This window comes from Homo sapiens, chromosome 6 (assembly GCF_000001405.40).
Source record: "Homo sapiens chromosome 6, GRCh38.p14 Primary Assembly".
NCBI classification, from domain to species: Eukaryota; Metazoa; Chordata; class Mammalia; order Primates; family Hominidae; genus Homo; species Homo sapiens.
In genome coordinates, this window is record NC_000006.12 from 87,918,175 (window position 1) to 87,944,117 (window position 25,943).

The 25,943-nt window shown below is 43.1% G+C and overlaps 1 long non-coding RNA gene across 2 annotated transcripts, besides 2 other annotated features; it reads left to right on the forward strand.

The window, feature by feature from the left end:
* Nucleotides 7,072–8,161: an enhancer, noted in NCBI's record as "amplified fragment containing the chr6:88634965-88636053 (GRCh37) CAGE-defined region". NCBI's record gives its function as "transcribed enhancer in B cells {active_cell/tissue: B cell}" and the evidence as "EXISTENCE:reporter gene assay evidence [ECO:0000049][PMID:24670763]".
* Nucleotides 7,347–7,536: an enhancer, noted in NCBI's record as "active region_24813". NCBI's record gives its function as "activates an Ori minimal core promoter by ATAC-STARR-seq in GM12878 lymphoblastoid cells {active_cell/tissue: GM12878}" and the evidence as "EXISTENCE:reporter gene assay evidence [ECO:0000049][PMID:35858748]".
* On the forward strand, nucleotides 13,267–25,869 carry LOC105377882 (uncharacterized). 2 transcript variants are annotated; one of them, XR_001744246.1, is made up of 3 exons: nucleotides 13,267–13,469; nucleotides 20,958–21,108; nucleotides 23,462–25,869. It is a non-coding gene; the product is annotated as an uncharacterized LOC105377882 (long non-coding RNA). The 2 variants fall into 2 exon arrangements; XR_002956400.1 differs by lacking the exon at nucleotides 23,462–25,869 and adding an exon at nucleotides 21,887–22,021.
* The last annotated feature ends 74 nt before the right edge of the window (nucleotides 25,870–25,943 follow it).

A 25,943-nucleotide genomic window follows, 5' to 3' on the forward strand; every position in this document is an offset into this window, starting at 1 on the left:
GGAAAAAAATGTAAACTGTTTCTTCATTTTTATTGTTGTTATTATTAAGATAGCTTTTTATTCTTTTAGAAGACAATACAGCCACATCTCAATAGCTTAATTTGAATAATTTTTTTAAAGAGATGAATTACCACATTTTGTTTATAATTATAAGGACCAATGGCTGCTTCAGGCCTCTGTAAAGCCAAGAGTCCATTTTCTGAGAAATAGAAAACAGAAAACTAAGCTGATTTGCCTGGAGAACTTCCATGGGCTAATGGTTTGAGAGAGGTTTTATCTCTCTAACGAGTGTAATATTAAAATTAGGTGGGTTCAAGAGGTTTTATTTTTGTAATATTTGAACTAAATATATGTAGACATCTGCAAATGCCAATCATATGACTTATGTGGGCACAATGAATTGTTTGTGCTCACACATATGCTGACAGCATTTGTTTTATGCACCTGCTTCTTCTCCAGTTCCAGTTTGGTTCGATCTTTTGATTATGTTTTAATGTGCAGGCGTTTGCTGAAGTGTAACCACTTACAGAGCATCTGGGCTCGTATGGGTTTTCAAACTGAATCCACATTTTAACAGTTTCTCACCTCTCTATCTGGATTAGAAAAAACCGACATCATCGTAACCAATGTTAATCATTCTTTCACATTCCAAAGTGCTGACATTTGCTTCTTGGTTATAATCCTCAATTTGGAGTTTGGCTCCTTGCTTTGTCTCAGGTTCCCATGGGCCTTACAATAATGCTTATCATTTGCATAGCACTTTTAAAGCCCCTTTCAATTGTTAATTAATTAATTCATAAGATGTCCTTTCACAATCTCCACTTAATGCATAAATAAGCAAACTGGGCCAAACAGAGGTTAAATGACTAGGGCAGAACCATATGTGGATATGGCTAGTCCTTTCATTTATTTTTTTTAAATTTCCAGAAAGGAAGACACATTTTAATTCCAGGGCTCACCAAAATTTGCAATTTCTACATCACACTACACGGTCAGTTCATGAACTGGGGCAATCTGGGGAAATACTTGCTTTGGTATAGTGTTAGGTGTTCAAGTGGAAATGAGAAGTCCTGGGTGACTTCCTAAGATCATGGAACCCTCTCTGATCTACAGGCTCAGGCCAAGCCTTAGAATAGGATGAGCTCTCCAACTTTGTTTTAAGGATAAGCTATTTTTTGATGTTTTCTGAAATGTAAGAATGATTGCCCTGGAATGTCATATTGCTCTGGGTAGTAGAAATAAAAAACATAAAATGGGAAAGGCTTTTCTTACTAAATGCCTGAGAAAAGTGTGCTTTTTCTGGTCCTTGTCACACTTGGGATCTACTGGGCACCTTTAGCATCTGGTGTACTGCAAGACTTCAGTAAAGACCTGCTTAATTGGCTGTTACCCTGAGTTCAGAACAGCATCTAAGCTGGGAAGAACAGCTTCTGCTCTAGAGAAAGAATGAAGAAAAGATGGGAAACAGCTGGTTGAGAAGGTGTCTATCTGAGGGGAATAGGCGGGGGAGAAGAGGCAAGCCACCAGAGAGTAGTGATTACTTCTGAGATGGTCACTAGGTTTCCTGTACCCAAGTGCCATAAAAGCAATTAAATGGGATATTATCTCAGTTTCCTAGGGCTACTATAACAAATTACCACAAACGGGGGTTTCAAACAGCAGAAACTTATTCTTTCACAGTTCTGGAGGCAAGAAGTCCAAATTCAGCAGGGTTGGTTCTCTTTGGAGGCTCAGAGGGAGAATTCATTCCATGCCATTCTCCAAGCATCTCATGGGTGCCGGCCACCACTGGTGTTCCTTGGCTTGCACCTGTGTAACTGTAGTCTCTGCCTCCATCTTCTCATGGCCACCTTCTCCCCGCGTCTCTGTGTCTCAAATGTCCCTCTGCTTTCTCTTTCAAAGACATCAATCATTGGGTTTAGAACTCCCACTAAATCTAGGATGATCTCATCTCTCTTAACCTTAATTATATTTGCAAAGACCTTATTTTCAAATAAAGTCTTACTCACAGGTACCAGAGATTAGGACTTGGATATATCCTTTTGGACACACAATTCAACCCACTACAGATATCATTCTTCCAACCTCAGGTCTGAGGAGAAGCTGAAATAGTGACTGGGCAGTGCAAACTTGGGTTTCCAGATGGAGATGGCCAGCAAGTGTTTCTGGAGCCAGAGCTGACAAATGCATCCTTCTACCTCTCTTCATCCAGCTCAATGCTCAACTAGAGGGAGGAGTTGCTCTGCAGCCCCAAGAGTCCCCACCGTATCTGGTGTCTGTGGGAGAAAGTCTGCTTTCTGGATGGCAGAGACGACCTTCACGCCATGCACACCAGCAGGCAGACACTTCCCCTTCCTCCTGGCCCTGATCCTAATGATGATTCCTTAGGCATCTGGAAGAGAAGGGTAGCTCTATAATTCCTGGGTTCATGAACATTGTAAATGGGAGATTTCTCTGCTCATGGTAATACATGGGAGACAAGTCTGGGTACTCTAGCACTGTTTTTGTGCTGACCTGATCCTCCCGTTCTCTCCCCAAACACCCCAAATTTTCTCTTCGGGGGTCTCCACAATCTTCTCATCACCCAAGTTAGTAACCTGATGCATCATTGTGGATTTTCCCTCTGTCTCACCTGTTACATTGAATCAGCCCCTAGATCATATTGATTCTCCAACTTTCCATTTCCTAATCCAGCCTTTCCTTTTCTTCCTGATCAGCTCTTTTCTCTTTCAGCCCACCATCACCATCTCCTGAACTACTAACCTTAGCTGCTTTTCTGGTTTGTGTTCCTCCAGTTAATTCTTCCTTCCAATCTTATCTGCTACTCTGCTGTGATATTGATGCTTCTACCAATTTTTAGGTACCCTCTTACTTTAAATCTTCCACTGGCCTCCATGGCCGATAACACCCAAACTCTCTAGCAGGCCACAAATTTCTTCATGATCTGATTCCTGACAGAGGCAACTGGGCTGCTGGATCAGCTGTCAGTGGTGCAGACATGACTTCTGCTAAAACAACCTCTGGGTGCCACAATCCTGAGGTGGGTGCTCTGGTACACAGCAGAGCTCTCCACCCAGCCCAGTGCTTAACCAAATCCACACACCAAGATGCCTCCAACCAATCAGCAATACTCAAGAGAGTTTGCTTTTTAAATACAGGGTGTGGTCTCTTGGCTTTAAAAAACCTATCTTGTTTCTTCTTCTCCTGAAACCTCTTTTCCCAGAGCCTAGACTCTGTGCTGGATTGAGTTTCCTGCTTGGCAGTAAAAATCTTTTCCCCGAGTATTCAGTCATTGGCTCTGTAATATTTGCTTTAAACAAAAAATCTCTATTTATCTCTAAAGCCTCATATTTCCCCCATTTCCCCTAAAGTTCCCTGTGTTCTAACCATTCAAAACTTCTTAGAATTCTGTGAACAGTTGGCCAGGTGTGGTGGCTCACGCCTGTAATCCCAGCACTTTGGGAGGCCAAGGTTGGTAGATCACCTGAGGTCAGGAGTTGGAGACCAGTCTGATCAATATGATGAAACCCTGTCTCTACTAAAATACAAAAATTAGCCAGGCATGGTGGCATGCGCCTGTAATTCCAGCTTCTTGGGAGGCTGAAACAGGAGAATCCCTTGAACCCGGGAAGGGGAGGTTGCAGTGAGCCAAGATCATGCCATTGCACTCCAGCCTGGGCAACAAGAGCAAAACTCCATCTAAGAAAAAAAAAAAAATTCCCTGAACAGCCATGCTTTCATTCCTCCATGCACTGTTCATGATGTTTCCTCTTCTGAGAACACCAAATACCCCATGCACACCTGACTATCCTTCCAGCTTAAGTGTTAGGTCTGCTGATTCTCTTAGGCCTGGGAGCTCTTTTTTTGGCATTCCCATAGCAATCTAGTAAATGATAATAGAACTTAGCACACATATCCAACCCCAAAATGGAGCTTTTAAAACTGTGGGTCAACATCCCATTAGTGGGTGGTGAAGTCAATTTAAAAAGTAAAATAGAACATAAAGTATCAGAGTATATTGCCTATAGTAAGGGTCTGGTATGTGAACTTTTGCTGCTGCTGGTGTTGCTGCTGGGTGGTGTGTGTGTCTGTGTGTGTTTGGGGGGGGGGTTGTTACTATGGGTGATGGGCACTAGACCGTGAGATACTTTAGTGCCAGGATCTTGCCTCAATCATCTTTGTATGCCTGGGGCTCAGCCCAGCGTTGGCACAGAGTTGACAGCAAATGTTGAGTGAATGAAAGAATCAGTGCAAATGTGAGAATACTGTAAAAGGTCCTCAACATGTTCTCAGGAGGCCAACAAGGGTGACTGGCAAAACACTGAAGATTGCAAAACCCATTTGCTAACCCTGCCCATGTTTATAAATAATCAAAGCCAGAGGTTTGGAGTAAGTCAAGCCCATGTCTTCTGCAGGTATGGACTCAGATTCAGCTAATACTTAGCATCTACTTCTTTGCCACATGCTATCTTATTTAGTCTTACAAAAAAGCTGCAGTCATGACTTTCCTTTTTCAGTTCTGAAACCAAGGCACAGGGAGGGTTAAATGTTGCTTTAAGCAAGAACTGTGCTTGAATTTACATCTTTTATCAGTTAGGTGAGTGTTCTTTTATGTAGGGAGATGCACAAGTCAGGAGTGTGCCAGCTTCTGGGAGGCTGTGGAGGAGAGATGGGGAGGACCAGGGTAGCATAGGACCCATGCTTGGTGATAGCTCAAAGGAAACAGCCACACAGAGAAGAAAAACATTAGCATATATTTGTGACAAAGACTTGTAAGGCCTATGAAGAAGTGATTTGAGTAGGCATGTCAAAGGTCCATTAACCAAAAAGCAGAAGACACAGCTCTCTAAGTGTGACAGGAAGTATTTGTCATACAGTTGTACTGTCACGGATGGGAGCCACCAGCAGCTGTTGTGTGCTGTTTGCACATTAACCACACAATCGTGGAGATTGATTTGGGAGCCTAGTCCCTGCCCCACTCCCCTGTCAGCCTTCACCTGTCTGCTCCCTCCTCTCTCCTTCCTACCCCACTGTTCACTCACCCCTGCCCCCTGGCCCACCTCCTCTTCCATCTGGATGCCTCAGAGCAGATGTGGACACAGCCATATGTTCCATCACTCTGACTAATGCTGCTGTGCTTCTAGGTTGGCTCAAGTTGGATTGTGATTAGTGTTTACTGCTATTATCACTAGATCAGATAATGGTGATGGTTATTGATTTGCCTAGCACAAACCTCTTTGTTTATTAGGAGCCTTGTACATAATGAAGGGAACACACCGAAAGACAAACAAAAAATATTTGTATTTATTTATTGAAAATGGGCAGTGCAAGACTGTGTCCTTGGCTCTGTCCTGTTGAACATTTTCATTAGGGACTTGGATCAAGACTTAAGAGACCTGCTGATCAAATTTGCAGTTGGCACAAAGCGGGGCAGGACGGCTAATAGGCTAGATAAGAAGAGCAGATTTTAAAAAGATCTTGACAATTGGAACAAAAAGCCAAACCAACAGAAAAAAATTTAATAAGAAACTTAAGGTCTTGTACTTGGGTAAATAAAAATCTGCTTCAAAAGTATATAGGATAGGAGGAGAGACTTTTCTTTGTAGCAGTTCTAGGGAAAACAACTAAGGACTTTTAGTAGATGTCGGCTCTACCATGAGTTAACGAAGAAGGTGATGCAAATTAGGCTGCATGAATAGAGGCCCTGAACAGATCCCCACATCTGCAGGACTCCGAGTGTCTATCACATTGAAGATAAAAATACAAACATGTTATTGATTGATTGATGATTGATGGATTGAAAACAATTTTAAATTCTTCCTTAAAAATTATCAGAGGCCAGGCGTGATGGCTCACACTTGCAATCCCAGCACTTTGGGAGGCTGCAGTGAGTGGATTGCTTGAGCCCAGGGGTTTGAGACCAGCCTGGGCAACATGGTGAAACCCCATCTCTACAAAAAATACCAAAAAAATTTAGCCAGGTGTGATGGCACACCTATAGTCCCATCTACTTGGGAGGCTAAGATGGGAAGATTGCTTGGCCCCAGGAGGCTGAGGTTCTGCTAAGTTGAGATTGCTCCACTGCACTCCAGTCTGGGTGACAGAGTGAGACCCTGTCTCAAAAATAAATAAATAAATAAATAAATCAGAGTAACAAGAGTTAACTGCAGGTAATGAAACATTATAGGTATATTAAAAAAAATTCTTCCTTCTAACATCCCCCAAAACAGATAACACATGTTAACAACTTGGTGTGTATCCTTCTGTGCTGTTACTCATGCTGAGACAAACATATCAAAACAAACCCACAAGTATATAAGATTTTTGTTGGGATTTTTGGTTTTTCATAAAGTGGACAAACCCATTTTCTCCATCTTTCTTCACTTAAGGATACATCATTGACACCTCTCCAAAATTAATTTTAAAATGCTTAATGTTCCAGAAATATGGATGTGGTATCATTTATTCATCCCTTAATCAATGTCACATTTAAGAGGGATATGGGCAAATAGGGCAGGGGATGATGTTCCAGGGCAGGATGGCAGAAGTGGAGCCAGAAGCCATGACATAGAAAAAAGGACTGATGCAACCAGAGATGCTTAACTGGGAGAATAAAAGGTGGGTGGAAGAAGGGGAGGGTTGGTTGGGTTCATCAGTTAATATTGGAGCTTTGCTCAGACTGGGGTTGAACAGGTTAGTAATTCTATGGTTAGTGTTTGATTCCTTGTCAAGACAGGTCTAGGGAAGTGGGGAGGGTGAAGACTCTATTTCCTTCAGTGATTGGAGGGTTGTGCAAAACAGCAGCCTTTGGGGTTACCAAGCGTGGCCCACCCTATCCCCAGAGAGCTGGCGGGCTCTGTGGAACAACCTCCACAGTAAGCACATTATAAAAACATTAGGCGAAATAATAAAAATAATGACATTAAAAAGAAAAATTGTTGTAGAAACCAAACAAACCCAGACCTACAGCCGAGGCAGGCACCAGCCGGGATGTTGTTAGCATGCTTAGGAGAAATTTGATTTCGATGAATTTCGTTGTCAGTGTAACCAGGGCATGAATCACCCTCCTCCGCCCTTTCTCATCGTTCTAATACCAAGATTTAGAGAACATGGCATTAGAGAGATAAAGAGGTTCACAAACAGTATCAGCCAGGAGCCCCCCGGGCCCAAAAGCAGCACCAGGCTCAGCCAGGAGGCAGCTTTCTGCTGTTATGGGCCTATAAATCTGAAGGCATCTGAACCCCTGCGGGATCTGAAGCCATCAACTCTGAGACCAGAACTGTCACCTTTTCTGCTCCCAACCTCTTCCTCCCACCACAGTCCACCTGACCATGGGGTGAGAAATGAGGTTTCTCACTAGAAGCAAGTTCTGGCAGAGCAGGGGCCTGGCCACACCAGTGCTGTAGCAAGCAGCTTGCACTGGCTTCCAGGGTTTGCATCCGTGGTGACAAATGTACTCTCCTGAGGTGGCTAGGAAAAGCCACCTGTCCTGCCAGACACAGGGATGCAACGCCAGTGTAGGATCTGGAGGATCCCACATGCAGCATCGGGGCAGATGGTCACAGTCTGGTGACTGGGGAATCCCCAACGGCCCTGAAACCATGCTCTCAGTTTTATTTTTAGCTAATATGTACTTGATCCTTTCCCACGTGCCAGACATAGTGCCAGGTGCTTCCTGTGGATCATCTCCATCCGTGTTCCCAGCCCTCTGCTAGCTACTGGTGCACATACTTTACACATGAGGAGACTGAGGCTCAGGGAGATGAAGTTACCTGGCCCAAGTCACTCAGCTGGCCAGGAGTGGAGCCAGGGCTTGACCTGAGGTCTGCCCAACTCCAGCATTTATACCCTTTCCATTAAGAGTTGATGATGCCTCATGGCCATGAGAAGGGACTACGGGGAAAAGTGGGCTTTCCTAAAGCCTTTGCTTTCTCTCATCTGATTACAAATCCAACCAATTTCATGCGTTCCAATTCGAAGTGCTCAACCTACCCTCATTTATCTATAGTTCGTCACAGCCCTCAAGATTGCTTAGGGGATGGGGGACCTGTCTTAGTAATACCAGTGCTTCAGGCCGTTACCACTCACACAGGTGACAAAAACAGGGACTAGAAATTAGAATTAGAGAAATCCACAAAGCGCTGAGGTTGGCTGTCTTGTGGTGGCGTTTCTCAGATACCAGGGCCCACTGATTTATTTCCCTCAAGGAGAGGCAGTGAAAAACAGTGGTTAGGAAAATAGTCATGAAACATGGATTCTGGAGTTGAGTGATCTGGGTTTAAGTCCCAGTTCTGGCTGTGACTTTGGGCAAGTTACTTAACCTTGTATAAAACAGGAATAATAATAAGATTAAATGAGCTCTTGTATACAGAGTTGTCAGCTTAGTCCCTTGCACAAAGTAGGTATTCAGTACATACTATCCATTGTGGATAGTATGTTGTCCCCAGGTACAGCGGGGACACTGCAGAAGCACTGTCATTAAGGCATGCACTTGGAGTTGTTTTTCCTGTAGGGGGAACATGTTTTAGTCAACCAATATCTGTTCACAAATCTGGCGTCTTTTGGGGAATTGTTTGGGAACTGCCTGGCCTGGGTAAAGAGAGGCATTTCCAGAAGAATATAATTCCAGGCTCAAAGACAGCTGATTCACAGTACCGGTTCTGCCAGTCACCACTGGGTCCTTTGTGCAGTCACTCCATTCTCTGAGTTGTGACTGAAGGATTATGAGAGCCACCTTGGCTAGGTCATTGTCCACCTGAGATGAGGTCACAAATATAAAGCACCCAGAAGAGTGTTTGGCCCCCAGATGGTACATGGTGGTAATTGGTCCCCTTCTGCTGTGGCCTAACCACAACTTCCCAGACCAGATCACTGGTAAATGTCCTCCAGGCTTCTTCAAACCTGTTTCTTGTACTTGCCAAGAAGGATATGACATCCTAAGGCGCTCAGATGACCTCCCTTCCCAGAGACAACTTAGCTCAAACATAGAAAAGCCCAGTCATTAGAAGGGAATTCAATCAATAAGCAGGACTAAAACTAGGTAGAGGAAATCCTTTCATTAAGTATTTAAATGCCTTTTGCGATCTGAGTTTACATAGAAATCATAGAGGGCTACTTGTTAATCACTTCTTTTTCACAAGTATAAGGCTAGCTGGTTCCTTTTCCTGACTGCTCCTTCTGGACTTTGGGGGATGAATGGGAGGTTCGAGGCCACATGGTGGGGACCCTCTCATTGGCCTTATCCTACCATTAATAGGAATATGTGCACTCTGGCAGGTCAGGACTCCCAACCCAGGGTCTCAGAGTCCTCTGAAAATGGAAAATCTTGAAGGCCTTCTGATCACCAGGAGTCTGAACTTCATTTCTTCCTTCTGCTGAAGATTCCCCTAAGGCACTACTTATCTTAAGAACTTCCCTGAAACCCCCTACTCCCTACCCCCAGAGATTTTCCACTCCCTTCCAGGAGCCCCCATTCCACTGGAAGTACACTTCTTTGAAACCTCTGCAAAGCTTTCCTGGTCCTGTAAGTTTACCTTCATGGGCTCCTTAGAGCCTATGCAAACCTCAAAAGTGAGGATTATGTTTGTGTTTAGTCCTGAGCTCCAGCATCCAGTTTATTGGCTAGCACATAATAGGTGTTTACTTATGTTGAAGGAATTTCATGTTAAAGAGACGATAAGCAAGGTACTTTAATCCACTGTAGTTCACCTATGCTTACTCATAACATGGGGATAATAAGAGTTCTTACCTATCTCATAGGGTTTTATGAGCATTAAATGAGACAACCCATTGTTAATGTTTAGCACAGTGTCTAGCACATAGTCATCACTCAGTGCATATTAACCATCATTGTATAATATTATTAACATTCTGATTCCAAAATTTCTGGCCCCATTTTAAAAACAGATAATCCGGTTGGGTGCAGTGGCCTGTAATCCCAGCACTTTGGAAGGCTGAGGCGGGTGGCTCATCTGAGGTCAGGAGTTCGAGACCAGCCTGGTGAACATGGTGAAACCCCGTCTCTACTAAAAATACAAAAATTAGCTGGGCATGGTGGTGCAAGCCTGTAATTCCAGCTACTTGGGAGGCTGAGGCATGAGAACCCCTTGAACCCAGGAGGCGGAGGTTGCAGTGAGCTGAGATCGCACCACTGCACTCCAGCCTGGGAAATAGAGCAAGACTCTGTCCCAAAAAATAATAAAAATAATATAAAAAACAAAACAAAACAGACTCCGAGATACAGAGGAAATGGGCTTGCCCTTAGGAGAAACCAGAGGGCCAAGCACAATGCCAAGAAAAAAGTCAAAATCTTTATTTCCTGTTCAGATCCTTAAATACAGCGCTTATGAGGTCTCTGCCTGAGGGCCCATGGTTTTCAACTTTGCTCAGACCTGCATTTAAGCAGAAGCTCAGGCAAAAGGACGATGGGGAGGGATTGTCTTCCTCAGTATTCTTCTGGCCTTTGAGGAAGAAATGAAAAGAATTCTGTAATCATTCATTGACATGGCTTCCGTGTAAAAATTTTTGAGCCTCAGGCTGAAGAAAACAGAGCAGGGGAAGATATTTAGGAGGGAAACTATTTTACACAAAGGTAACGTGTGTGAGAAATAAAGACTTTTTTTTTTTTGAGACAGAGTCTCGCTCTGTCACCAGGCTGGAGTGCAGTGGCACGATCTGGGCTCACTGCAACCTCTGACTTCCTGGTTCAAGCGATTCTCCTGCCTCAGCCTCCCAAGTAGCTGGGATTATAGGCATGTGCCACCACGCCCAGCTAATTTTTGTATTTTTAGTAGAGACAGGGTTTCACCACGTTGGCCAGGATTGTCTCGATCTCCTGACCTCGTGATCCGCCCGCCTCAGCCTCCCAAAGTGCTGGGATTACAGACATGAACCACCACACCCAGCTGAAATAAAGACCTCTTAAAGCAGAAGGCAAAGGTACATGTCTCTGGAAATTCAGAAGTGTTATTTAGTGATCTAGATGAAGAATATATGGGAGGAGACATGAGAGCCTCTGTACAGAATCATTCATGTAAATGTTTGCCCAGAAACCCAACTGACTGAGGCCATAATTCACCCTTGGGAAACCACCAGAGAAGCTCATTGGATCATAGCTATGAGCGAAGAGCTGTTGCTAGCGAATCAATACTGCTATCTCTATAAGCACCCACCTTATATCTCTGTGACTGCATCTAATTTTTAATAAGCTTGTAATCAATGATTTTTATTATTTTGTATAAATTTCCAAAAGGCTAGTTCAAGTAAAAAAAAGAAATCCTGAACATTTTCAGCTGGAGAGTTTTTAGGAATAATTACATGTACATTAAGCAATATTTTTCTGGTGAAGGTGTATATTTTTCTCTCCTTCCTTCCTTCTCTTCCTGCCTCCCTCCTCTCTTTATTTTATTCCAGAGAGACTGCCATAGGTTTACCAAATACCCGAATAACCCTTTCTTGTTTTATCTGACCCATTCATCTTGTACACGTATTTATTATGATATGAGCACAGAGACTTTTGTTTTCTGTTTTAAACATTTGTTTTTGGATGTTCGGCAGATTGCATGCCTAAAGAATGCTTTGACTAAGAATTCCTAAACACAGATTATGGCTTTGGGCAGAGACCTCTTTCCCCAGTGCCTCAGGTTCCTAGTCTCCACTGCTGACGTGCAGTCAGAATGAACTAATTCACACCCCAGTCTAGGCATCTGGGTCACTTCGTGCACATGCTGTGAAAAGGCCGCTCCTTCCCTTTCTTCAGCCACTACTCGGCACTACTCAGGCACTTCGGAAGCAGTGACTCAGGAGACCAGCAGGTGGCACATGGGAACCAGACTACACACTCCTGTGGCCCAGGACAAAGAGATGGGAGAGGAAGGATTTCGTGCAAGGCCAGCTGGCTGATTTCCTCAGTGTTGGCGGATTGAATGCTGCCCATGAGGACTACAGAAATCTTCATGGACTGCAGGACCTCAATGATTAAAGACAGGGAGGCAGGGAGGAGGGCAAGATCAGGGTGACACTAAAGGATGGGGACATTACAGTCAGTCTTTCAACCTCTGCTAATCCTCTCCCTTAACCCCTTACCTCACAGGGGGGTTGTAAGCTGAAGGACATATCATAGGTAAAGCAACAAGCCTGGTTGGGGAGCTTAACACTGGTAGCTGTTAAAATAGTTATTATCTGGTTGGGTTGAACACAATCCAGTGGTGTTATTTAGGCATTTTTGACTAATCTAGAGGTTGTATGCAGGTGTTTCTGATTCATTCATCTGTTCATTTGTGTTTCCAACCAGTGACTATATATGGAGTAGGTTCTCTTCCCTTTGCATGGCTTAAGTACACGAAGGTGCACAAGGCCCAGTCTTCAGGAAAACAAACAACCCACTGTAGTGAAGTCAGTAGGAGGATGAGAGATAGGTTATATGGAAAAACCAACAATTTAACTTGATAATCAACACTCTAGGCAGAATAGTTAGGTTTTGGGATGATGGTTTTGATGGTGGGGAAGCTAAGACAGGAAGATGAAGGAAAAAAGGACCATTTGCAACCATATATAAGGAAAGGGCATTTATAAATCAGAATAATTTCTAATTGTTAAAATAATCACTATGCTCACACATTCTATTTAACCTTCCTCTTTTAGCTGGATATACTGTGGGGCTTTTATAGAAAGCAATACTTTGAGGGTAATTTAGCCACTTTGAAAAAAGAATATATATAATATATGAAGGGTTATTTTTACAGAGAACAATGCTCAGTTACTCCCTGTTTCCAGAGTAGAAGAGGAAAAGAGCTTTACCTAGAGCAAGAAAATAGAAAAGGCTTTTTAGCACTGAGAAGTGTTCATTCCTGGTGAGTTACCCCCAGAAAATGTTGGCATTGTTTTAGATCTGGACTAGTTTAGATATGGCTCTCTTAGGGAAAAGGAATACACAAGAGTGCTTTTTTTTTTTTTTTTTTTTGACAAAGTCTCACTCTGTCGCCCAGGCTGGACTGCAATGGTGCAATCTCGGCTCACTGCAACCTCCGCCTCCTGGGTTCAAGCGATTCTCCTGTCTCCACCTCCTGAGCAGTTGGGATTACAGGGGTGCACCACCACACCCAGCTAATTTTTTGCATTTTTAGTAGAGACAGGGTTTCACCATGTTGGCCAGGCTGGTCTCGAACTCCTGACTTCAGGTGATCCACCCACCTTGGCCTCCCAAAGTGCTGGGATTACAGGTGTGAGCCACTGCGCCCGGCCCACAAGAGTGATTTTTAAAGGCCCTGTACATACTTAGGATGAACAGAATCTGTATCTTTTCTAGAGAAAAGAAAGACAAAGAATGGCTTAATCACTGACTGTCAAATAAATGAAGGCCTATCAACTGGAGAGAAACTGTTAGATAAAAGAGAGAGAGAACTAAAACAAAAGATCTACCCTAGAAGGAAGCACCATTTTGATTCTAAAGATTGTGGGAGTCTCTTGGGGTAAGTAATAAGAAACTATGGAATGTTAGTTTGGGGAAAATAGGTTCTCTTCCTCTTGTGTAAATGGGCAAATTTTTGGTCACAATTTCAATATGTGCTTATTGGCTGAGTTGGGTGGGATGTTGACAAGATCACCTCTAAGATCTTCATGTTCTGGAAACTTCCCAGTGGTGGGGTAGACCTCATTTCCAAGTTGGCAAAGATGGTGAACATCTAAATGAAGCCTTTGCAATGAACTAGGTTCTTACAGTCTCATCACAGACTAAAACCCAAATTTCCACAAATCATTTAGGAATAATGCATCCAGCTACAGGTGAAGTTCTAAGTGGAAATGGACCATCCCTGCCTTTGGTCTTTGCCAGACTAAAGCTAAAGTGGTAGAAAATACCTGAGACTTTTTATAATGCAGAGTATGGATTTTACTCAGAGTGCAGAGGACAGAATTGCACAGGATCTAAGGGCCACAAAGTGATTTTTAGTAAATATTCAACCACTTTAGGAGAATTCTAATAAATAGTCAAGGTAGAGAAATTGGGGTCTAAATCCTAAGACTCATGCTCCCTTCTGAAAAAATTGTATCTGCAAAGATCAGCAGCCAAGTGAAGAATACTAACCATATTTATTAACATCTCAGCAAGCTTCCAATTACAACAATACTACCCCACTTGCCCTGTGAAAAGTGTCTCTGGTTAATTTGAAACCTAGCATGTGGCTTAGGCTGAAGGCCACAGGGGAGCCAAAGAGCTTCTTCCTAACAGGGAAGGTCCTGACTATCCTGATTCCCACACAAGAACAAGAGTTCATAGAGCAAGAAGCGGACAAGGAGACACAGGCCTGCCCTTGCAGGCTGGTCCTTCCTCAGTCAGCAACAGCGAGTAGAAGACCAGGTGCTTGCAGCTGCCTATCACTGTTCAACGCTGTGCCCTTACCCGATGAAGGTCAGGGCTGGAGAGCAGATTAGCAACTCTTCCTCTTGTGTAAATGAGCAAGCAACAGGGTGCTGTGTGTATAATCAAGGCGGAAACAAGGAGATAGGAAGAAAGTTCTTTCAACCAAATGCCCTCCTTAACATTTCTGTTACCACTTATGTAACCCAGAGCATTGTCCATCTGATTAAATCTGAACATTAATGAAGAATAGCTTCATTTTAGCAGCCTTAAATGAACATGAACTCTGGAAGGAGAATTTGTAACACTTATTCCTGATTTTGTTGTTGTTGTTGAGCTTTAAAATCCTTAAGTTGGATCTCATTTTAGATAAGGACTGAGGTTGAGAATAGGTTCAGAAGTCCTAATGGTCTCTTTGTATTTCAATATAAGACATTTCCTTCCCTAACTTGGCTCAGAAAAGTACACGTCAAAGTGAATATGGGAACTATAGAAACCCTAATGGTGAGGAGTGAGGGCAAAATACTGGGCTAAGAATTCTCCCTCAGTATCACCTGGACTGTTAGTAATTGCAAAATAAGTTTGGAAAGACAGACAAGGTTTGTATCATGTATACCACAATCAACCAAACCATCAAATATTTCTCTTGCCTGTGATCATGACATTCAATCATCAGGGGAGAGTTTAATCTAACCACAGATTGACAAGAAAATAAAAATAGAGAAAAGTAGTCCAGGGAAACTAACTGTGCCTTTATGATAATGGCAGCTTCCTCTTGTTGGGTCATGTTGCCCTTTTTCAGGTCTAGATACCAGATGCTACTATAGCAGGTGCCAGGCCAGGAGACCCCCACTGTCATCATCAGCACCCCCAACTCCCTGAACATCAGACAACGTTGTGTCAGTAACTGCCTCTACTTGGGCTGACAGTAACTGAAAAAAAATGTTAGTTCAGAAGTAAACAAAGCCACCTGGAAGAAAACCAAAGCTGGGGAATTGCTGTGACCGACTGATTTACCCTCCTGAATCTTCTGAGCCCCACAGCTTCAGCACCAGTGCCTGGGCACCCTGGCATCCAGGATGTGGAGGGCTGGCCTGCTTCGAAGGCAGTCATATACATGTCAACCTTCCTCTGTCCCCTGTGCCCTCTGTTTTGCCATATCCATGCCCCAGCTGGCCTCCTGGCTCTCCCTACCCATGCCTGGTCTCTCTACCTCTTGCAGATGAGCTGCCTGATCACATACACATTGGTTTCCACCCCAACACTTTGGCTCCAGCAGGCATTGGAGCTTTGTAACCATCATAATCAGCCTAACCTCTGCCTCTCTACTGGGCTTTGGATTTTTCTTCTAGAATAATTTCCTTAGAGCTGTATTTCTGTGGGCTTATTAAAAATGCAGAAATGCAGTTTTCCTGAACGACTCAGAATATCTGGCAGCTGGGCCTGGGAACTAGTACTTTACCAAGTCCTCCAGGTGATCTGGAAGTCCACGGAAGTGGAGAAACCTGGCCTTGGGGAATAGCTGTGGTTCTCTTACAGTTCCGTGTTCTATGATGGAGGCTGTACCACAGTGACTGCTGTCGAACACGTTTATCACATCTTCTAGAGTGGAAGGACGATTCCCCAACCATGAGCCTGTTATAACCCTTCCCCAGCTTAGAAGAAATATTTCTTGTGGCTTTTTTTTTTTTGAGACAGAGTCTCACTCTGTCGTCCAGACTGGAGTGCAGTGGTGCAATCATGACTCAATGCACACCACCACACTAAGCTAATTTTTAAATTTTTTGTAGAGACAGGGGTCTTGCTTTGTTGCCCAAGCTGGTCTCAAACTCCTGGTCCCAGGTGATCCTCTCGCTCTGGCCTCCCAAAGTGCTAGGATTACAGGCATGAGCCACCATGCCTTACCTTCTTGTGACTTTGACTATCATTTCTCTCCTCGGCATAGCTCTGAGTGTCTTTCTCATCCCAAGTATATTCCTAGTAACTATAGCTAACATTTATTGAACACTTGCTATGTGCCAGGCAATGCATTAAAGGCTTTCCATGTATCAACTTATCTATGCTTAAGCAACTCTACGAAATGGGTACTATCAATATGCCCATTTTACAGATGAAGGGATGAGCTTAGAAATGTTAAGAACTTGCCTAAGGTAACTTGCCTAAGGTAACTTCACAGTTAGCAGGCTGTGGAGTTGGGGCTTGAACCCAGGTTAGCCTAACTCCAAAGTTTTTACTTTGTTTTACTCCCTCTCCCAGGGGATCTGGATCATAAATACCAAGCAAATGGAATCATGAAATCCTGTAATTTAAAAGCGGTTTTAAACCTTTTCACTACTAAAGATTCCTTTATATTATTTCTGCCCACTGCCATTCATTAATGCATATTTTGATAGATTACTAATCTGAAAATTGATATAAAATATATAATTTTCAATGACTTTTTGAAATGTTGAAAATAACTCATGAGCTTCTACAATTTCCTTTGAGCTCCCAGGAGTTTGGAAACCTAATTATCACCCTCGTTTTACAAATGAGGAAGCAGAAATCCAGGAAGGATAGTGGCTTGCTAGTTATGGAGTCAGGAACAGATATAAGGTTTCCTCCTTCCCGTCCAGGGGCTTTGTTATTCAATATCATGCTCAATCAATCAATCCATCATTCAAGTTGTCACTGAGCACCTACTATATGCCTGGTAGGCAAGATGATGTGGGGGATACAGAAGAACTGCCACTGTGGCTTCTGTATTCAATAAATTTACAGTCTATTTGGGGAAACAAGGCTTAGACATAAAAGGCATTACATAAAATCACAAGATAGCATGTTTCTAAAGCAGTGTTTCTCATCCTTGGCTGCATATCAGAATCACCCAGGGAGCTTTCCAAAGCTCCAGAAGCTTCCAGAAAAAGGATCTTCAAAGTTGGAGGCCCAGGCATGTGTATTTAAAAAAAAAAAAAAATAGTCCAGCCAGGGTTGAGAACCACAGTTGCAAAGTAACAGGATTCACAATAGCAACTTCAAAAGTTCCACGTGTAAAGACAAGATCGGGCTACAACGGTCAGGGTACCTCTGAGAAATAATGAGACCTTGGATTGGATGGAAAAGGTTTGGCTAAGTGGAGAGTGGGGGAAGGAAACCACCTGAGGAAGTCTAGAAAGGAATCAGGGGCTTGAGGAGACAGAAAAATGGGGTTGGTGAGTGGCCAGTTTCAACTGGTGGGGGTTCCTGGAGGTAGGCGTGGAAGGGAAGGGTGCATTCAAAGTAGGTGGGGGGCCTCTCAAGTCAGTCACAGGAGCTTGTTTTTTAAAATAACTGCGTGCAGGTTCTGGAATAAAGATCTTATATAACTCACGTGCAGAATTAACCATTCAGAGAAGCATTTTCTTTCAAGCGTCCAGGATATCCGAATGATCTTGCCGAAGCCCTCACTCTCTAGAAAAAGGAAAGCACTGGATTCTCAGATGAAAGGACTGGAGTTGGGAGAATGGACTTAGGAGGAAACAGGAAGCGGGGTAATCGCTCCACCTGGCACCTGGAGCTTGCAGCGCCCCAGAGCTGTGCGTGGGGAGGAGAGAAACTGGGGGCAGTAAAAATGCTGGGTGAGGGAGAGAATAAAGGGCTGCAAAGGGCAGGTTTCTGCTTGTAAATGAGTGACCAGGGTGCACCCAGGAGGCGATTCTGAACTAGAGAGCATAGGATAGGCCTCCCGGCCTTCCTGGGGGCAGAGTTGCAACGCCTTGCAGCTCCTGCTGGGGACCTACACCAAAGTATGGCTTGCTTGGAGACAACTGCAGTGACTGCACGAGCAGGTGTGGGTTCTCTGGGAAGCATGCATATTCTCCCGGGATCCCATTGCGGTGTTGGCAACGGGGAAGCTGGAGGCTGTGGAGAAACTGAGGAGATGCTCCAGGTATTATCCCATCTTTTGAGCCTGAGGGAGAAATTTGCAGGGGCTGAGATTTATTGCTTTTTACCCTGATCATATTCCTCCGCTGGTGGTTGAGAAAAACTGTTGAAGGGAATACGTTTACAGAAGCAGTTTTGGTGGCAGTGTCTAACTTAGAATGAGGGTGGTGAGGCAAATCTGGGTGCCTCACCAGATGGATAAAGTGAAGAGGGCCTGGATGAGGCAGAAGGCAGTGAGAATGGGGAAGGAGGCCTGGAACGCCAGCTACTGTCTTTTTATATGGAAAGTGTCACAGAATAGATCACATGAGGTACACAAGTGTGCGCAGACCTAATGTAAGGATATGTGTGGCTGTCTACTAACACTCTATACGTTTGTTCAAAACTTATGAACCCCACTGATTAATAGGCCCCTGGAATATGATGGAGATGTAGGATCAAGGGTCCCTCTGGGCTGACTCAGAAGATCTCTGAACAAGGGTGTATTAGTCTGTTTTCACGCTGCTAATAAAGACATACCCAAGACAGGGAACAAAAAGAGGCTTAATTGGACTTACAGTTCCACATGGCTGGAGAGGCCTCAGAATCATGGCAGGAGGTGAAAGGCACTTCTTACATGGGCGTGGCAAGAGAAAAATGAGGAGGAAGCAAAAGCGGAAACCTCCGATAAACCCATCAGATCTCGTGAGACTTACTCACTGTCATGAGAATAGCACAGGAAAGACAGGCCTCCATGATTCAATTACCTCTCCCTGGGTCCCTCCCACAACACGTGGGAATTCTGGGAGATACAATTTAAGTTGAGATTTGGGTGGGGACACAGCCAAAACCTATCAAAGGGTGAGACAACAGGAGCACTGCGGGCACTCTCCAAGGCCATTCCAGGAGGCATGGTGCTCTCCTGCCTGTGTTGGGGAAGAGGGATGCTGGAGGCAGAAGAGGGGGAGTGCATTGTAAGTCAGAGGAAGATTTACCATGAAGCTAATAAAGCTTAAATTTTAGGGCCTCTCACTTGAATAGGTCTCCTTCAAGGCCTTGTACTTAATTTTCTCTTTGGTTTTTTTTTTCATAAAAGGTCTCCCAAACTATACAGGCCTCATGGCCTCCAAATCCTGCGTCTGCCCCCAGTCACCCATATAGCGACTCTCCCTGCTACTCTCATGCCTCAAAACAGGTTTTTATTATCCCACTACTTTCTGGCATGATGTATTGTTGTTGAAAAATCAGCTAATGGCTTAACCAGGGCGTCCATCTTATACAACCCCAGGGGGCCCCTCTAGTCTATTTAATTGGGAGCCCCTAGAGTTTGTCCTATGTCTATGCGTCATTCTTTTGTTGCTTGCATTTTAGATTTTTCTTTTTTTTTTTTTTTTATGATTTTTCAGTTTCATGATGGGTATCTAGGTGTGTTTCTTTTCTTTTTTTTTTTCTTTCTTTTTTTTTTTTTTTGAGACGGAGTCTCGCTCTGTCGCCCAGGCTGGAGTGCAGTGGCAGCATCTCTGCTCACTGCAAGCTCCGCCTCCCAGGTTCACACCATTCTCCTGCCTCAGCCTCCTGAATAGCTGGGACTACAGGTGTCTGCCACCATGCCCAGCTAATTTTTTGTATTTTTAGTAGAGACGGGGTTTCACCGTGTTAGCCAGGATGGTCTCGATCTCCTGACCTCGTGATCCGCCCGCCTCGGCCTCCCAAAGTGCTGGGATTACGGGCATGAGGTGTGTTTCTTTTCATTTATTCTACATGGGAATTATGGAGCTTTGTCATTAGCAAATCAATATCTCTTATCAATTCTGGGAAATTGTCAGTCATATCTTTAGATATTGCTTCTGCCTCTCTGTCCACTTTCTTTTAGGAACTCTGATTAAACATATGTCACACCTTCTTCTTCTATCTTTCTTGTTTCTTAATATTTGTTCCTTGTTTTGCATGTTTCTGTTTTCTGTGCTTCATTTTAGACCAGAGGTTGGCAAGCTACCGCCTTTGAGCCAAGTCTATCCCACTGCCCGCTTTTGTAAATAAGAGTTCCACTGAAACACAGCTACACTGCTTTGTTTACATCTTGTGTGGGGCTGCTTTCACATTTTAATGACAGAGTTTAGTGGATACAACAGAGACCATAGGGCCTACAAGCCTGAAATACTCACTATCTGATCCTTTACAGAAAAAGTTTGCTCCCCCTTGTAGACAATTTCTTATCTTCCAGTTCACAAATTCTCTCTTCCGTCTTTATTCCGCTGCTAACATTGTCCACTGAGTTTTTCATATTGGTTATTGCATTTTTTATTTTAAATGAACCCTTATAAATCTGGCAGGTCATTATTATTATTATTTACAATTTCCTGTCCCTGATGATATAGCATTGTAAAAAAGTATTAAACATAAATTCCAAAGCTGTGAGAGACTGAATATTTAAACAATGTGATATGTCTAATATCTTTAGTCTTTACAGGTTGGTTTCTGCAGTCTGCTTTTTTTTTTAGAGAATATGAGCACAAATCTTTCAAATGTAAACAGCACAAGAGGTATCATTGCCCATATTTCCAAATACTAAAATTTTTTATTTTAAAGGGCAAACCTAGACAGTTAAATTCAGTTCAATAAATATACAATTAGTCTGTATCATGTCCTGAGTAATAAATATTAAGTAAATATATTTTCTTTGTATTTCTTTTTGCTTTATTATTTTAATTGTGTCTAGCTCATTGTTCTTGAAAAACTATCTGTGGCAGTTCTTTGAGGCCTGGGATTAAAAGGTGTTTCTCCAAGGAGAACTTGTTAGTGATCTGCCTGGTGCCTATACCAAATTTTGGAGGTTCCCTGGAGTACTCAACCTGCAAATCATCTCAGAGGTAATTCATGGCCAGAATGTTTCAGGAGTATTTTTTCCCCTTATTTTTCCTGTTGCTAAAAAGATTAATGTTGTGTTGGAGAAATTCTGCTCTAGACTGTGCAATCATTAGTAGCAGGGACTGAGTTCTTTTCATCATTGAGTTCCTGCCACCCAGCACAGTACTTGGCCTAATACTTATTGAATGAGTGAGTGAGTAAATAAATAGGTTCTACTGATTTTGCTTCCTAAATGGTTCTCAAATATGTCTTTTCATCCTCTTTCCCATTCTCATAGTCCTGGTCTCCATCACCTTTATCTGGACTATTACGATGTAATAATCTCCCAGTTGAGTGGTCCATAGCTAAGGGAATATTTTAGAATTCCGGTGGTGGGTCAAAAATACATATGTTTTTAAAAATCTGAGATGAGTTGAGGAAATCTCTAGTTTAAAGTATTCCACAGAAGATTCTAATATGTACCTTCAGTGAGAGGCACTCCACACCAACTTGTCTTCAGTTTTGCACCTCTTAAGTTCAGCCTCCCTACTTCACTCTCCTAGAGAAACACTACAGGGGCTCTTTATCACCTATAGCATAAAATCCAAGCTGGTTAGCTTGGTTTACAAGGGCTCCATCCCCTGCTGTGTACTCCATGCTTTAGTGGCACTCAACTTTGTGCATTACTGTCTTGTCACATCCCATCTTGTCTCCCACATCTTGCTTTTGTTCAGGCTATTCTCTGTGCCCACAGTCCCCTTTTTGTCTTTATTCACGGACATTCTCCTACTTGCTTTGTAGGACCCAGCTCAGCTTCAGGAAGCCTCCCCAGGCCCAAAGACTGGGTTAGAGCTTCTCCCTCCTGGTGCAATGCTTCATTAATTACATAACCAAGTCTATTATACACAAAGTGTAACCTCCCACTAGAGTGGGAGTTCCTCAAGGGACTTAAGGTACTCATCTTCGTTAGCCTAGCACGGTGCTCAGAAAACGGTAAGAATAAAATAGGTATTTACTACTCAGGACATAGTACAGAGTTATTGTATATTTATTGAACTGAATTGAGCTGTCTAGTTTGCCCTTTAAAACCAGGTGTTTTAGTATTTGGAAATATGGACAATGATACCTTTGGTGCTCCTTAAATTCACCAGATTCGTGATCATATTCTCCAACTAAATTCAGTTGTTTTCAGTTGTGTTAGGAAGAAGATGAGATGTAACTTGGGGGTTAAAAAATAAATCCCAGGTGAAATAGAAAACGGGATGATTTTCAAATGAAGAGGGAGAAATATAACTATTAAGAATCCATAGCCGGACATGGCAGCTCACACCTGTAATCCCAGCACTTTGGGAGGCTGAGGTGGGTGGATCACCTGAGGTCAGGAGTTTGAGACTAGCCTGGCCAACATGGTGAAACCTGTCTCTACTAAAAATACAAAAAATTAGCCTGGCGTGATGGTGGGCGTAATCCCAGCTACTCTGGAGGCTGAGGCAGGAGAATTGCTTGAACCAGGGAGGCAGAGGTTGCAGTGAGCCGAGCCGAGGTCATGCAACTGCACTCTAGCCTGGGCAACAAGAGTGAAACTCTGCCTCAAAAAAAAAAAAAAAAAAAAAAAAGAAAAAGAAAAAAGAGAGAGAGAGATTCCAGCTCCTACAATCCCACAAATGAGTATTGTACAGGGGTTGATCTGCCTGCACAAGTTACATGGATGAGGGAGGCTCATTCTTCTGTGGAAGTCTGGGTCTCTTTCCCATCCTTCTGTCCTGCCTAACATCTTGCCCAAGCCTCCTGGGGAGGTGATGAATATCACATCTTTTCTCTTCAAAGAGGCAGTGCTAGAGAAACAACTAGGAATGACAGAGATCCCTGCCCATTGGGATAGAGAAGCTGTGATGTCCCCTCTAGTATGAAACTGGGCATCACTTAATTTTCTGATCTCTTCCAGTCCCTATTCTGTGTAACAACCAATGGGATTAATCTAGCTTTCCTCAAACTGATCCCAAATGAAAAAGAGGATGAAGTCTTCTGGAATTTTGCTGGGTGGCAACAGATAGATTAGAGCTAGCCATACCATATTTGGCTGCCAAGTTCCTCTCAGGGGGACCTTGCCCATAAGTTGGAGCTGTAACTTCATGCTGGTCCCAACATTCATGTTATCTTGACTTCCTCCTTGGTTTACAGCATTTACATCCTTCTAACCCAGATCAATGTCAGAGCCATAATCCTTGGGAGAGAACAGAATCCATAGTCTGTTTGGTATCATGCATCAGCGGGTATTTAATAAATGTCAATTGATAATGTTTATAATCATGAAATGGAGAAAAATATGTTTTTTTGGCACTGCCTTGAGTAGATGTAATCTCTACCCTTTGCTAGAAAACAGAAATGGAAATAATATGAAGATTCCTAGAGAGAAAACAAAGAGATGGCAGAGATAGCATCTCATTCAGGAAGTTTCAAACTGAAAGGGTCTGAGTGAGGACAGCTGCTACAGAATTCCATGACCTCTGCAAGACTTTCTGCCCTTTGAAGGAGATGATGGCCAGATATCAGCTTGAAAATCATGGCAAGCTCAGTTTGGCTGAAGAAGGAAGAAAGAATGCCCATGGCAAAACAAACAAACAAATAAACCACACAATCTGACACATTGATGAATAAGCAAAGGCTTCGATATACAGAACTGCTCTTCCACACAGATTCTCTTTTATTCCTGGAAACTACTGGACACCCAAATGAAAAAAAAATTTCTCCCTCCTAACATGACTCATCACTTTAGATCAATCTGCTAACTGGTACTCTTCCATTGCCATAAAATAGTGAAGGGAGGATTTGATGACAGAAAACCTGGGTTCAAGTAAATATGCCATTTCTGGCTGTGTGATTTTAGGCAAGACACTTAACCTCTCTGAGTTTAGCTTTCTTGTGGGTAAAATACAGAAAATGGCAACATATATCAGTTATGATAATTAATTGAGCTAATGTATGTGAAGGTGTATTTTGCCTCTAGATGGTCATGCAGTTTAGGACATTGTGTCTTCGAATGGGCTAAGGAGGAGAAGAAAGTGAAGAGAATGCTGCTAATGAATAAAGCTGCTTCTAAACCCCATCCACTCTGCAGGAACACACAAATACATCCAGATTTATGCAGACTGGTGTCAGGGGCTGCATTCATTGGCCAATTTAAATAATTTTATATCTTAAAATAATTATGGCATTTGTAGTAGTGTTTTCCAACACATATGAGGTCTAAAACAAAATGCCCCCAAAGACAACCACATGCAATCATTGCATTCATTTTACATTTTTAATGAATCTCCCTGCTCCCAGAGCTCTGTTGCTATTCCCAGCAGCCCGGGTTCTGTTTTGTGTTCCTTCGTGGGTACACAGGGCAACCTGCCTGTTTTCTTGTCTCCATATGCATTTTAACTTCATAAGAAGACAGGATATGAGAAGTAATCTCCTCTCAGGAGGTTTTTATTTCTACAAATTACCAGCTACATGTATCTTGTTAAAAAAATCCATAAATAAGATAAAACAGGAGTATGTGTTTGTTTCTTGCCTAAAGCAAGCAGTGCAGCTTTTGCCCTGCTACTTGCTTACAATGGATTTAGAGACTGAGAGTAACTTCCCTTCCCTGAGCCTACAGTTCGTGCTCTGCCCTCCATATTCAGAAAACAGTATTAGACGGAAGAGAAGGGGCCGAACATCCCTGGCTTCATCCAGATGGAGCAATCCCACTCCTCAAAGCAATCTGAGGGCTAAGAGTGATTTAATAAAGATTGCTAAGAATGATTTAATAAAGATTGCACATGAGCAGCACTAGTAAAGAATTTGGCAACATATAATACATATAACACACTTAGGAAACACATACCAAATGTACACCACCTATTTCTGCAGCACGTAATCTTTGGTTAGGCTGTAACTGCCTTAAGGACTTTCCCATCTAAAGTTGTATCAAATATGAGCCTTACCATAATGCTGTCAGGCCAGGAAGGCAAGTATTATTCCTAACGGTGGCGCACAAGGTCCCCTACCATCTTATACCACACTGCAGTGTGCCCTCTCTGCTTCCTAGGTTCTATCCACACTGACCTTTCTGTTTCTTGAACACATCACGTAGTTCCTACCCCAGGACCTTTGCATTGGTTGTTCCCTCTGTGGAACACTCTTCCCCTGGGTCTTTAAATGACTGTCTCCCCACCATACAGCTATCAACTGAAATTCCTCCTACTCAAAGAAACCTTCTCTGGCCACTTTAAAGAAACACTACCCTCATCTACCCCTTCCCCAACACATGCTTCTCTATTATTTTACCTTGTTTATTGTCTTCAAAGGCCTTACCATTCTCCGGAATCATTGCCTTTATATATTGGTCTATGGCCTCTGTTCCCCCGTAGAATGAAAGGTCAATGAAGGAAGGGACTTTGTCTAGTTCACTGCTAGGTTCCCAGCATCTAGAACACTGCCTGGCACACAGGAGACACTAAAAAACTATTTACTGAGTTCATTTCAGTTTGGTCAATGAGGAAACCAACATCACAAAGATGAAGTGAATTGCTGGGATATAATTAGGGCAAACCTGGGACATCTCTTAACTTTCAGACCAGTGCTTTTCGCTCTAGGCAAGGAAGTTTACTACTTGCCCATTGGGTAGCCCAGAATTAACATGTTGTCCTTTGGCGTGACACAAGAAGTTGAGATTTCTTGTCTTCAGAAGTAGGAATGGACAGTCATCCTGTCAAGATATGTGTGTGTAAAAACTTAACCCAGGGCTCAAAGGTGCTGTTTTTGCCGTATTTTCCTGGGATTTGGGGGTTTGGGTCCCATCTAGAGTGCACTAATTTTGAGAAGCAGC